This window comes from Homo sapiens, chromosome X, assembly GCF_000001405.40.
Source record: "Homo sapiens chromosome X, GRCh38.p14 Primary Assembly".
Classification (NCBI taxonomy): Eukaryota; Metazoa; Chordata; class Mammalia; order Primates; family Hominidae; genus Homo; species Homo sapiens.
The window spans coordinates 23,976,270-23,989,343 of NC_000023.11; the positions used below are offsets into that span (position 1 = coordinate 23,976,270).

General features: G+C 40.1%; 1 protein-coding gene across 1 annotated transcript in view; it reads right to left on the reverse strand.

Moving 5' to 3' along the window:
- Positions 7,451 to 13,074, reverse strand: part of KLHL15 (kelch like family member 15) — a 43,467-nt gene continuing 37,843 nt past the window's right edge. Inside the window, exon 4 of the mRNA NM_030624.3 lies at positions 7,451 to 12,761. Within this exon, the coding sequence (NP_085127.2) occupies positions 11,652 to 12,761 (1,110 nt within the window). The 3' untranslated portion in view covers positions 7,451 to 11,651. The remainder of the gene's footprint in view (positions 12,762 to 13,074) is intronic.

Below are 13,074 nucleotides of genomic sequence, written 5' to 3' on the forward strand. Positions count from 1 at the left end.
TTTTGTGTTTGACTATTTCCATAAGGAAAAAGTACATAAAACCAAAATAAAGAAGCACTATCTGTAATAGTGGGCGACTGTCCAATGTGTCTCTCCTGTTCTGACCTATCTTCTGAGCTTCATCCAGATTTATAGATCTAGGACTTTTTCGACCTCCTCACTCTTGTACACCTCACAAGCATTGGAGGCCTAATGCACCTTGTATTAGTCCGTTTTCACACTGCTGATGAAGACCTACCTGAGACTGGGCAATTTACAAAAGAAAGAGGTTTAATTGGACTTACAGTTCCACGTGGCTGGGGAAGCCTCACAATCGTGGCAGAAGGCAAGGAAGACCAAGTCACGTCTTACATGGATGGCAGCAGGCAGAGAGAGAGAGAGCTTGTGCAGAAAAACTCCCCCTTATAATAACCATCAGATCTCGTGAGACTTACTATCACAAGAACAGCATGGGAAAGATATTTCCCATGGGAAACACCTGTCCCCATGATTCAATTACCTCCCACCAGATCCTTGCCTCAACGCATGGGAATTCAAGATGAGATTTGGGTGGGGACACAGCCAAACCATATCACACCTAAACCCATACTCTTGCTATTTTCTCCCCAAATTGCTCTTCTCCCCATCTTTCCCATTTTAATTAACAGCATCATCACATGCCCTGGGCTCAAGTTGGAAATCCAGGAGTTGTTTTGGGTCTCTCATCTCTAGCACCTCCAATATCCACTCTATCACCACGTTCTGCCAGTCTTAACCTCCAGAACATGTCCTAACTCCATTCACTTCTTTTTGCGGTGTCAGCCCAAGACATCATCACTCTTCACATTGCCCTGACCCCCTCATTGAGCTTCCCAATTCTATCCTTACCTCCCTTCAGGGACCAGATGACCTTTTAAAATATAAATTGCAGCTGGGCTTAGTGGCTCACACCTGTAATCTCAGCACTTAGAGAGGCAGGAGGGGGGTGGATCGATTGAGCCCAGCAGTTCGAGACCAGGCTGGGCAACATGGTAAAACCCATCTCTACAGAAAAATTAAAAAATTATCCAGGCATGGTGGTATAAACCTGTAGTACCAGCTACTCAGGATGGTGAGGTGGGAAGATCACCTGAGCCCAAGGAGGTCGAGGCTATAGTGAGGCAGGATCGTACCATTGCACTCCAGCCTGGGTGACAGAGTGAGACCCTGTCTAAAATAATAATAATAAGCTGGGCATGGTGGCTCACGCCTGTAATCCCAGCACTTTGGGAGGCCGAGGCGGGTGGATCACCTGAGATCAGGAGTTCGAGACCAGCCTGGCCAACATGGCGAAACCCCGTCTCTACTAAAAATACAAAAAATTAGCTGGGCGTGGTGGTGGGCACCTGTAATCCCAGTTACTTGGGAGGTTGAGGCAGAGAGAATCGCTTGAACCCGGGAGGCGGAGGTTGCAGTGGAGCGCCATTGCACTCCAGTCTGGGCAACAGAGCAAGACTCCGTCTCAAAAAAATAAATAAAATAAATAATAAATAAATAAAATTAAAGTATAAATTGCATCAGTCACCTATTAGTTAGAACCCTTCAATGCCTTCCCACTTGCCTTAGAATAAAATACACACTCCTCATGGCCCCTTATGTGACCCTGGGTGTTCTGGCCTTAGTTCCTCTCCCATCTCATCTTCCATCACATTCTCTGCATTCCTTACCTCAACCAGATGCCCTGGTTCTCTTTCAGTCTCTTGGCTGCCCCAAGATTTTTTGAGACAGGGTCTTGCTCTGTCACCCAGGCTGGAGTGCCGAGGTGCCATCTCAGCTTACTGCAGCCTCGATCTCCTGGGCTCAAGGGATTTTCCCCACCTCAACTCCTGAGTAGCTGGGACTACAAGCACGCCACCACGCCCAGCTAATTTTTTGTATTTTTAGTAGAGATGGGGGTTTCACCATGTTGGCCAGGCTGGTCTCGAACTCCTGACCTCGTGATCCACCCGCCCCCACCTCCCAAAGTGCTGGGATTACAGGCGTGAGCCACTGCACCTGGCCAAAAAAAAAGTATTTCTCCAGTTACTCTCATGAAGAGAAGCCTGGGTGTTCCATAAGGTGAACTGTGGATCTGCTTCTCTCAGTCTAACCCCGCTGGCCTTAAAATTATTTTCAAGGCAGCTCACCATTTTATATGATGTTTCGGTCAATCTCTATTTTAATCGGTTTTTATTCTTTTCCTATAAGGTCACGGGATATTTTAGTGAAAAGTTGTGAGGCATTTCAATGGGGGGCTGTAAAATCCTATTTTTTCTTATCCTCTTTTAACAAAGTAATCTGCAGATCCACAGAATATTCATGAATATGATTTTGTTTTTGCTTGACATCTGCTCTCATAGCTCTGTCAGTGAGGAATTCATCATTCCCAAAGCATTCCATATGCTTTTCCACTCTGCATTTACCCATGCAATTTCCCCTGGCACAAATCCTCTTCATTTTTGGCTGCTAGCAACTCAAGAACAGGATGTTTCGACCTTCCCCTTGTTTGGAGCCTGAGGACACTACACTGTGACTCCATGTTTCTAAGTGCAAACACTTAAATCCGAATTCTACCAACTCTGGCCGGGCACGGTGGCTCACACCTGTAATCCCAGCACTTTGGGAGGCGGAGGCAGGCAGATCACTCAAGCTCAGGAGTTCGAGAGCAACCCAGCCAACATAGCGAAACCCTGTCTCTACCAAAAATACAAAAATTAGCTGGGTGTGGTGGCACACGCCTGTAATCCCAGCTACTCGGGAGGCTGAGACAGGAGGATCGCTTGAGTCCAGGAGGTGGAGGTTACACTGAGCCAAGATTGTGCCACTGCACTTCAGCCTGGGCAACAGAGAGAGAGTGAGCCCATCTCAAAAAAAAAAAAAAGAAAAAAAGAAAGAAAGAAAGAAAAGAAAAAAAAAGTATTTCTCACAATAGGGGCATGGTTAGATAAATGATGGTATAACCATATTATGGAACACTAAGTAATCACTAAAAATATTATTTTCAGGTTAAGCATGGTGGCTCACGCCTGTAATCCCAGCACTCTGGGAGGCCGAGGTGGGTGGATCACCTTAGGTCAGGAGTTCGAGACCAGCCTGGCCAACATGGAGAAACCCTGTCTCTACTAAAAATACAAAAATTAGCCAGGCGTTGTGACACATGCCTGTAGTCCTAGCTACTCTGGAGGCTGAGGCAGGAGAATCGCTTGAACCCAGGAGGTGGAGGTTGCAGTGAGCCGAGATCACACCACTGCATTCCAGCCTGGGCAACAGAGCAAGACTGTCTCCAAAAAAAAAAAAAAAAAAAAAAAAAAAAAAAAAAAAAATATATATATATATATATATATATATATATATATATATATATATATAAAATATATATACATATATATAATATATATATGTAATTTTCATAGAAATTTTAATGACTTATGAAATTGTTTCCAATATAATGTGAAAATACAGAATAAAGAACTATAATTGCACTGATCGCAATAACACTGACCCCCTGAGAGGCAGTTTTCTGGTGACTCCTAATTTTCCTGAGTATGGGTCACACTTTGCTGTTTCTTTGTACATCCTGTTTCTTTTAGGTAATATGTTATAGCAACTCTGGACTCTGTATTAACCCACTCCCAATCCAGATGGTGGTGGGGTTTGCTATTTTTAGATTTGTTGTTTGTTTAGTGATCTGCCTGGACTAATTCTGTGGCGTCTATTCCCCACTCACTCTCCCCCCTCTCCAGTGTACAGCCACTGATGTCTCTGCTGTTTTCAAAATTCTTGTTTTTAAGACTGGATTCCTAGGGATCACTTCTGAGTCGGCATAGGTCAGCCAATGATTGGTCAGAAGTTGTTTAAACACCTTGAGCCAGTAAAGCTCTCACCCTCTGCTGATGAATGCGTGTGACCTGGGGAATGCATTCCAGTCAGAGCAGTTTCCAAGTCTATTTATTCCAGTTTTGATTTTCTGTTTGCAAGGCTTCACATGCAGGCAGGGACAAGTAGCTTGTTAGGGCCCTTTTAGGTCTCTTCTTGGGTGCACACGGCCCTGCACATGAAGAGCACAGCCTTATGGACCACTAGGGATAAGTGGGATCTTATCATGCGTATTTTGCTGTTACATTCCCAAGACCTCCCTGTTAAACTGCTCGCTGCTCTGTCTGCCTCTCTATTGCTAGCCCAAATCACTATTGAGACCTCAGGCTAGCTGCAATGTTGGCCACACTGAAATATGGGATTCTCCACACTCTATTCCAAATGAAGTCAGCCCCCTCCCACAGCCCTAGAACTTCTGTGACACAGAGCCTGGGGAGAAGGGAGTTGGGATGGGAGCAGCCCCAGGTTAAAACATCACAGACTCCTACTTTTCTTAGAGAGGGGTTCAGTAGATTTTCTTGAATAAACACCCCTCAATTTTTTGTATGCCTTTGGTCAACTTCCAGTCTTAATTTTTTTTTTTGTGACAAGTTTGTTCAGTTTTGTCATTGCTTTTTAGGGAGAGGATTTGCTGAGCTCCTTACTTGGCCTTCTTGGAAGCACTGCTCCTTAAACCATACCAGTTGTAAAAATTAATTATACTGGCCGGGCGTGGTGGCTCATGCCTGTAATCCCAGCACTTTGGGAGGCTGAGGCAGGAGAATCACTTGAGGTAAGTTCAAGACCAGCCTGGCCAACGTGGTGAAATCCTCTCTACTAAAAATACAAAAATTAGCCAGGCGTGGTGGTGGGTGCCTGTAATTCCAGCTACTTGGGAGGCTGAGGCACAAGAATTGCTTGAACCCAGGAGGTGGAGGTTGCAGTGAGCTGAGATTGCACCACTGCACTCCAGCCTGGGTGACTCTCTCTCAAAAAAAAAAAATTAAAACAAATTCATCCTAATCTTAGGATAAAGTGGGACCTTCCTTGCTAAGTAAAATCCCTAAGGTAATGTCATCTTTGCAAAATGTTAACTTCACCTAGAAACTAACTGCAACTGCAGGAGGAAGTCCTGTTTTGTAGACCAGAGTACCTGAATTAGTAGTCTTGAGATTTTTTTTTTTTTTTCTTCTTTTCAGAGACGGGATCTCACTGTCACCTGGGCTGGAGTGCGTGATCATAGCTTACTGCAGCCTCAAACTATCCTCCTGCCTCAGGCTCCCAAGTACCTGCATTGTTTTCTTTCAGTTAATCCTTAGCGAGGCTTTTTCCAGAGCATTCACGGATCACATATACTCCATGAAAAAGAGTTCAGCTCTTTGACTGGTTTACAAACAGTGAAATGTTTGGTTTATACTGAGCTAAACAAAATCAAAATGAGTTAACAGCAGGACTTCTGGGAGCCTTTAATAGGCTAATGTTGGTTGAGATTCTCCAAGAAGAGAAGTGTAGTGTTTCCCAAGATTACTGTGACCACTGAACACCTCCCCCAACAGAGCATTTCATGGGATTAATGTTCTGCAAAAACACCCTTTGGTCTGTCTTGATATTTTCAATCTGGATCACAAATAGTGAGATGTTCAAGGAAGAAGTATTTGTTGACAGTTGTGAGAGCTGTATGCATTACCCTTCTAGACACAGGAGTGGTGGTTGTGGAAATGGAGGGAAATTCCTCTGGGAGGTCAACTTTGGCAGACAATCAAGCTCTCTCATACAGGTACCCCCTCACCCAGAGCATTTCATTGGCAACATTCCAAGTTTCTGAGTTCTCTTTTAAGGAGGACTTACCATGTACCAGACATTAAGTCAGACTCTTGGAAAATAAAAACACAGTATTTGCCCTCAAGGAGTACGATTAAGGGTGGGATGGAGAAGACAGTTCTAATCACGTGTTAAGGGAGATGGGGTCTAGGTATCCACAAGTGTTATGGTAAGACCAAGGGGACAATGTTAACATGTCCCAAGGGGTTAAAAAAAAACCAAAAACTGACAGAGGGCATGATGCCCAGGCTGGTTCTTGAAGGCCAAGAAAGGGTTAGGCAGGAATGGAAGAGGGGAAGCATGTGTGCAAAGGCAGACAGGCTTAAGAAAACACAGTCTATTCAGGAACTCCAATTAGCTTGCATAGCTAGAGGATAGAACGTAAAACAGACTGAACAGGTACAAAGAGAGCAACGCATGAAGGGCCTTGTGTGGCACGCACGCTAGGGAATTTGGATCTTAGTCTCAGGGTGAAGGGAGATCAGTAAAAGGCTGCGGAGGCGGGTGGATCACTTGAGGTCAGGAGTTTGAGACCAGCCTGGCCAACATGGTGAAACCCTGTCTCTACTAAAAACACAAAAACTAGCTGGGAGTGTCATCCCAGCTACTCGGGAGGCTGAGGCAAGAGAATTGCTTGAACCTGGGAGGCAGAGGTTTCAGTGAGCTGAGATTGCACCACTGCACTCCAGCCTGAGGGACAGAGTGAGACTCTTGTCTCAAAAAAAAAAAAAAAAAAAAAAAAAAAGAGTAACAGTTGTAGATGAAGCCATAGGTATAGGTATGGATGAGATAGTACAGAGTATGTAGACTGAGATGCAAGCAGAGACAAAACCCCAGGGCATTGTAATCTCTCTCTCATCTGAATACCTATACCATTTGTCTGTTACATATTGAATTTGTCATATGCTGCAATAAACATTTAGCTCAGTGCGTACTGTGTACAAATGCTAGATATGAGGGTACAAAGAATGAAAGATCTTTTCACCCAAGGAGACTATGATCTAGTTGTGGAGAAAGAATCATGCCCAATTATTATGCAAAATGAAGTTAAATAGAAACTATAAGTGTGTTGAGTGTAGAAGAGGCAATTAATTCAACGGAAGAGCTAATGCAGCTTTCAGGAGGGGAGGGAAACATTTGAGTTGGACTTTGCAAAAATAAGTGGATTTTAACAAGCAGGGCAGGGGAAAGAAAGGCAAGTAATTTTAGGCTGGAAAGGAACACATGTAAAGATCACAACAGAATGGAGTGTAGGAAGTGGTGGGGAGAAAGAGGCTGGAAAGGTTGCCTGAGGCCAGGATCTAGGTGCTTGGGAATGCTGTTGAGGTTTCTTAGGTGTCATTTGAAAGATGGCACACATGTGCTGATGTACCCAAGGCCTCCACCTAGTTCTGAATTTCAGAAATGCCTGGAAGACCAATGAATCAAAAATGCTTAAGGAAATCTAAACATCACCAAACTAAGGCTTGAGGCTTGTAAATGCTTTTTCTCAGTTCTATATTTTCATTTTGCAAGACTGCAAAACTCTGTGTTAGTAGAACTTTAATTACTTGGCTTCATTATAAAATTTCCATTGCATATAAGAGTATAAATAATTTCACTCTAATGCTCTCATTTGAATCTGCGGCTGAAAGCACTGGCAGAAATCACATTTTCATGGCACTTCCTTGGCATGTTGAAGGAAAACAAAATGTATTCTGCTAATCAAGTCATTAGTGACTTTGAAAGTGATGGATTATATCAAAAAACAGCAAATAATCAGAGATAAAGAAGTATATTTTAAAGATTAAAAATATTTTATTTAAACTTTTCTTCATAAACACTTTTAACATTTTTTTCAATTTAAAAACAGAATGGATAGCATAAACATGTTTGAATAGATTATATCCACGGCTTGGGAAAAATTACCTGACAAAAATGTAAAGGCTTTCAAAACAGGTATAAAAGGCAAACCTTAAATTATTCTAAGATTTTTATATCGGCCCTAGGATTATTTGACTACTGGCCCAAAATGTACCTAAAGGTCAAAATATTTTTCTATAGACAAAGTATGCCCAAGAGGTATAGGGCATATACAAGTTAGGTAGAAAATAACCTCTCCCAATCACCTCACTGGACCATTCCTTCAGAAAGCAAACACCTAATCCTTACTATATACTGACTAATAACATTTTAAATGCAGTTGTTCCCAAAATGTAAAAAGAAAACCAAAGAATTTAAGGGAGAACAAAGCTGATGGCATTCTCCTCAATGTTACTTGTGTAATATTGAAGTTATACGGTGTACTGAAAGGATATGATTTCCATGAATTTATCTATTCCAGTCTATGCCTACTGAATATTTGACTTTATAAACTCTGGATAAACTAATTTTTAGGACTTCCATTTTTAAGATAAATCTCTTTTTAGAAGATATTTATTCCCAAACCAACTCTAAATGTAATTGAACAAACATATGATCTCTCAAAATGTTCAGAATACAAAAACAAAAATCAAAAATGTATAACAGGCAAACAAGAAAACTGGCACTAGCAGTTTTACTGCCATATAGCCCTCAATTATATCTGATTTACACTATTATCTATGTTGCATTTTACTTCAGTCTAAAACTTTAAATTATGAATTCTCAAAAGAGCTAGTCTCCTCTGAGAGATAGCTTATAAACTGAAATAACAATTTATATTATAAACTGAAATGTTATGACCTACACCCACATATACATATATAAAAATAGTCCCACTGAACGTTTGACATGTTTAGATTATGCAGCTCAAATAATCTGTTATAAAATATTTTAAAGCTTAGTTTCATGTAATTAAGACAAAACTCCATTTTTACCACTTCTCCCCACATAAAGCGTGTGTCCTTTACTATGACTCGAGCAGGCTTCCCAGAATGAGGTGTCCAAAGGTGCTGCTTTAGAAAAGATAAGTGAAGGGCTCAGTCAGTATTTCACAAATTCTAGTAACACTCACACAGAGCAGAGTAATGAGGACACAGAAAGCTGTCTCAAGAAAAGCTAATAATTCTATTAGTTAAGCTTTGCTTTTTAAAAACCAGTAGCATTTCTTCCAACACAAAACCTTCAAAGTGAGAATCTTGCATTTTAAGAAAAGGCTGTAGTGCAAGGAATTTCTTTAAAATCAAAACTTAGAAGGTCAAAGACACGGAAGAGAACAAATGGTTCTAATTAAGATGTAATTAATGAAGATCAGCTATTTTTGTGAACTCTGGCATTTGAGATATAAAGTGAAAACAACACGCATAAAGGTCATAACAGTTAAACTGTATAGATTCAAATCTTACTGAATTTTTCAAAAAACTACTTTTTTGAGCGCAATGTATATAAACAAAAACTCCAAATGAAGCACACAAAAAATAAACTTGAAAAAAATGCTATGAAAAACTTTTCCATAGTTTAGTATAACAAAAATAAATCTCTTGCAGCAATAAAACCATAATTTTAAAAGGGAATGTAAGTTAATCATGGATTTAAAATAACCTAAATTAGAACTACATATAAACAGGGAGTTTTCTCATACATTCAGAACCCAAGCAACAGCAACTATCCTTAAAGCTCAAAACTGATTACAGCTAACATCAGGTCCGACGTGACTTACGTAAAGCTGAACCCAGAGTTAGTTCAAGTTAAGATTTTACGAATTTTACAAAACATGAACTTTGATCTTGGCCTCTGTCTTTAAAATGGAAGACCAAGAATACTCAAATGTTTGCCCAGATGTCACCCTGACTAGGGTCATGAAGTCATATCTAAGCAATTAAAGAGAACCACCACTATAGTGTAAAGGCTTTGATGTGGATACCTGGCCTGATGGCTCTTTCTTGGTCTTTTCTAGCAAAAGACATCAATGAGGAAAATAATGAAGACGTTATTTTCTTTAAAGCAAAATAGCACACATACAAAGCCACTAAACTAATGTAGAAAAAAATTAAATGGCTAACTTATTCCTAACTTTCAAAAATAAAATAATGTATTTTTTAAATGTAGAAAAAGACTTTTACCCATATTACCATGGGAAACAAGATACCAAATTTCATGTTTGGAAACTGTAAGTAAATGACAGGACTAGTTAATGAAAATATAAGTCTCATATATAAAATAAGATTATTATTGATTTTTGAAATCAATGCCAATGGTTTTTTCAAAAGCTACTTATGTACCTGGTTTCTTAAACCCAAATGCCTCCAATTCTGGAGTTTGAAGATCAGGTTTAATCTCATAGTATGTCTAATAACTGCCCAAAAAACCCCCAAAAACCAAAGTCTTCACATTTCCATGACTTCACACTTCCATTTTATGTTCAATGGTGGCAGCAGCAAAAAAACAAACAAACAAACAAAAAAACAAAAAACACCAAACAAAGTGAAACTAGAAAATTTATACATCAGCAGCCATATAGAAGGCATTGCAATATTGCACCAATATTCTAAGATCTGGCAAGTTTTGCCAGTATAGATCTAGTCTGTATCAGATATAGACTACTCATGCGCAAATGGCATCAATTTCAATGATCCACTCCCAGGTTATTCTTGCTTAACTTTGTCAACTATGTTTTTTCCTCTGCATTTAAAGAGTTGAAAGGTGCAGCTAATCCTAAAACACTTATTATAAATGCTTTTAAACAGCTATTCTTGATCCATTCTGAACTTTGTGGTTACTATCCTTCATGCTAATAGCTTTCAGTAAATAAAACAAAAACTGAGGGCTTACATCCCTAGTGTCGCTGGGTATTTTGTACAAAATAAACAAGTAGATAAAACCAGTAACATTATAATTCTATTTCTTACCTCTAAGTCAAAACTGAGGTCAAATTTTCTAAGAGTTTCTACCTTCCATTCAATAACAAATGCAGCAGCCTTACTGAATGTAAAAAATGGGAGTTGCACTTACTTTTAAGGGGCCTTGATTTAGGAGTCTGGTATTACCTAAATGCTCTTTAAAAGTGCTTGCATGCTGCAGGGCCAGAACTTGTCATATACCACTCCGATTCTCACTAAAAACAGGGTAACGTTAAACAGACTGCAAAGAAAAACATTTTCAAAAAGAAAAGACATACATCGACAAAGAACACTAACATTTACTTTTGAAAATAAAATATAAAGTGTTAGTTTTCATAACCATACATGTTTCAGAAATATAAGGAGTTCAAATATTACTGAATCAGTATGGACTGAAGATAGGCTACTTTGATAGCAAATGAGGACTCCAGTTATTTCAACTTTCTAAAAATGTTAATATGTGAAAAGACGTTACATCTAAAATTCAACAAGTATGGCGAACTGTGTGTGCAAGTAAGTGCACTAGCTTAAAAATATAGAATCCTAACCACGCATAAAAGGGATGTGCCTTGTGTATTTATAGGTTGTATGCGAGTATGAATATGCTTTCACTAACACAATGCGGATAAGAGAAGGCAGCTTAGAAATAGTGTTTTGAATATAAAAAGTTAATTTTGTAGAAAATTTATATTTTTGCATTTTCAGCAAAAAGCCATGCAAAAAGGTCAAGAGTTTTAAACTTTTAAATAATAAAACTAAAAAGTATAACAGACTGAAATACACTGAAATAAATCTTCAAAAAGGTTTCAGATAGAGACAGAGACTGAAATCACATCCAGTGACACTTATCGGGTCTTCTCTTAGAAGACACATGACTCCTACGCTAACATCTGAAAGAAATGTTTAAAGCAGAAAATCAATATCCCAGATAAGTGGAGCATTCTATTCAACTGCTTCTGGAAGTAGTTTCAAGAGCTAGCACTTAGAATTAACTTATTGCATGAGTTTGAGGCCACTGAAAAGAAAAAAAGGATGCTAGCACAGAATGAAAAATTCTTACAATGTTAGACCAATGGCTTTGATAGTAAAACTGGTGAGGTTTTTCTTTATATGTTTTAATTAATTACTCTGTGCAAACAAATACTTTGTTTGCCTCTTTTTTTAGGGAGGAGGATGTCATTAGTTGCAACGCCTGACCTCATCCAGTACATAGTCCGGAAAATGCAGGTTGCATACTTGTAAACCATCCAGCTTGCAGGGCATCCGAGGGTACTCATCTTCCTTCCACTTGTTTTCATCCGGATCAAAAGTGAGGATGGAATCGCTGTAATGACCATTATAACAAAGGCCTCCAAGAACCATTATTTGTTTGTCCAGCACAGTCACACCATGGCCACTTCTACCAATCGGCATGGATGCCAAGATGGTCCACTGATCAGTCTCTGGGTTGTATACTTCTGTAGAAGGGCATCCCTGAGATTCGAAAGAGGCCCTCAAGATCACACAGACACCACCGAAGACATAAAGCTTGCCATTGTAAGAAATCATCTTGTGAAAGCATCTCGCGTAATTCATCTTGCTCTTATTCTCCCAACAGTTGGTAACCACTTGAGTTCTCCTGGTCCGTTGTTCTATGGTCCCTTCTTTGCTGGGGTCAAACACGCACACTTGCTTGGAGGTGGAAGATGAGGTGATTCCACCGGTGATAAACAATTTGTTATTGAGCACTGTCCCCTCATGTCCATATTTGTTAACTGGATAAGGATCCACAAATTCCCATTTATCGTTGGTGATGTCATATCTCTCAGTTGAATAGAAAGTCTCATCTCTGGTTCTGCCTGCTACGGCGTAAATAAACTTCCCAATAACACCTACAGCAAATTCAGAGCGTGGTACAGACATATCTGCCATCTGCAGCCAGGAGTTCTGTCTCGGGTCATACCTGAATACTTTGGAAGAAGCATGGAATTCACCATCCGGGCCCAGCTCTTCCCCGCCTAACAGGAACACAAAATTATTGACGATAGCAAGGCAGTCAGGTCGCAGAGGTACTTGTGGGCCTTCTAGCTCCCACCAGACTCTTGGTTTCTTTAAGAGAAGTATTTTACTGTTAACCATGCTATGTCCAATCATTCCTCGAAATACTGTAGTTTGCGGTTTTGCAGAACGGATGCGGCTTGACTTCATATCCAACAAAGGCTGCTGGTGAACATTCTGAAAGTAATTCAATGCTTGGTCAACTTCGTAACGGAGCTGTCGGGAGTATCTATAAAATTCTGATGTCTTAACCTAAGAACACAAGAAAAAGAATTTAACCAAAGGAAAAAGCATCAGCTGCAAACAAATTATCAAAGCTGACTAATACGATCATCTTAGGCTCACTTTACTAAAACTGCTTTTCCTGCTAAGATCACCTACTTTCTTTTGTTTTCTACAAAGCTTTTAAAAAATCTTTTTTTTTTTTTTGGAGATGGAGTCTCACTCTGTTGCCCAGGCTGGAGTGCAGTTGCATGGACTCAGCTCACCGCAAGCTCCGCCTCCCAGGTTCAAGCACTTCTCTGCCTCAGCCTCCTGAGGCGCCTGCCACCACGCGCCCAGCTAA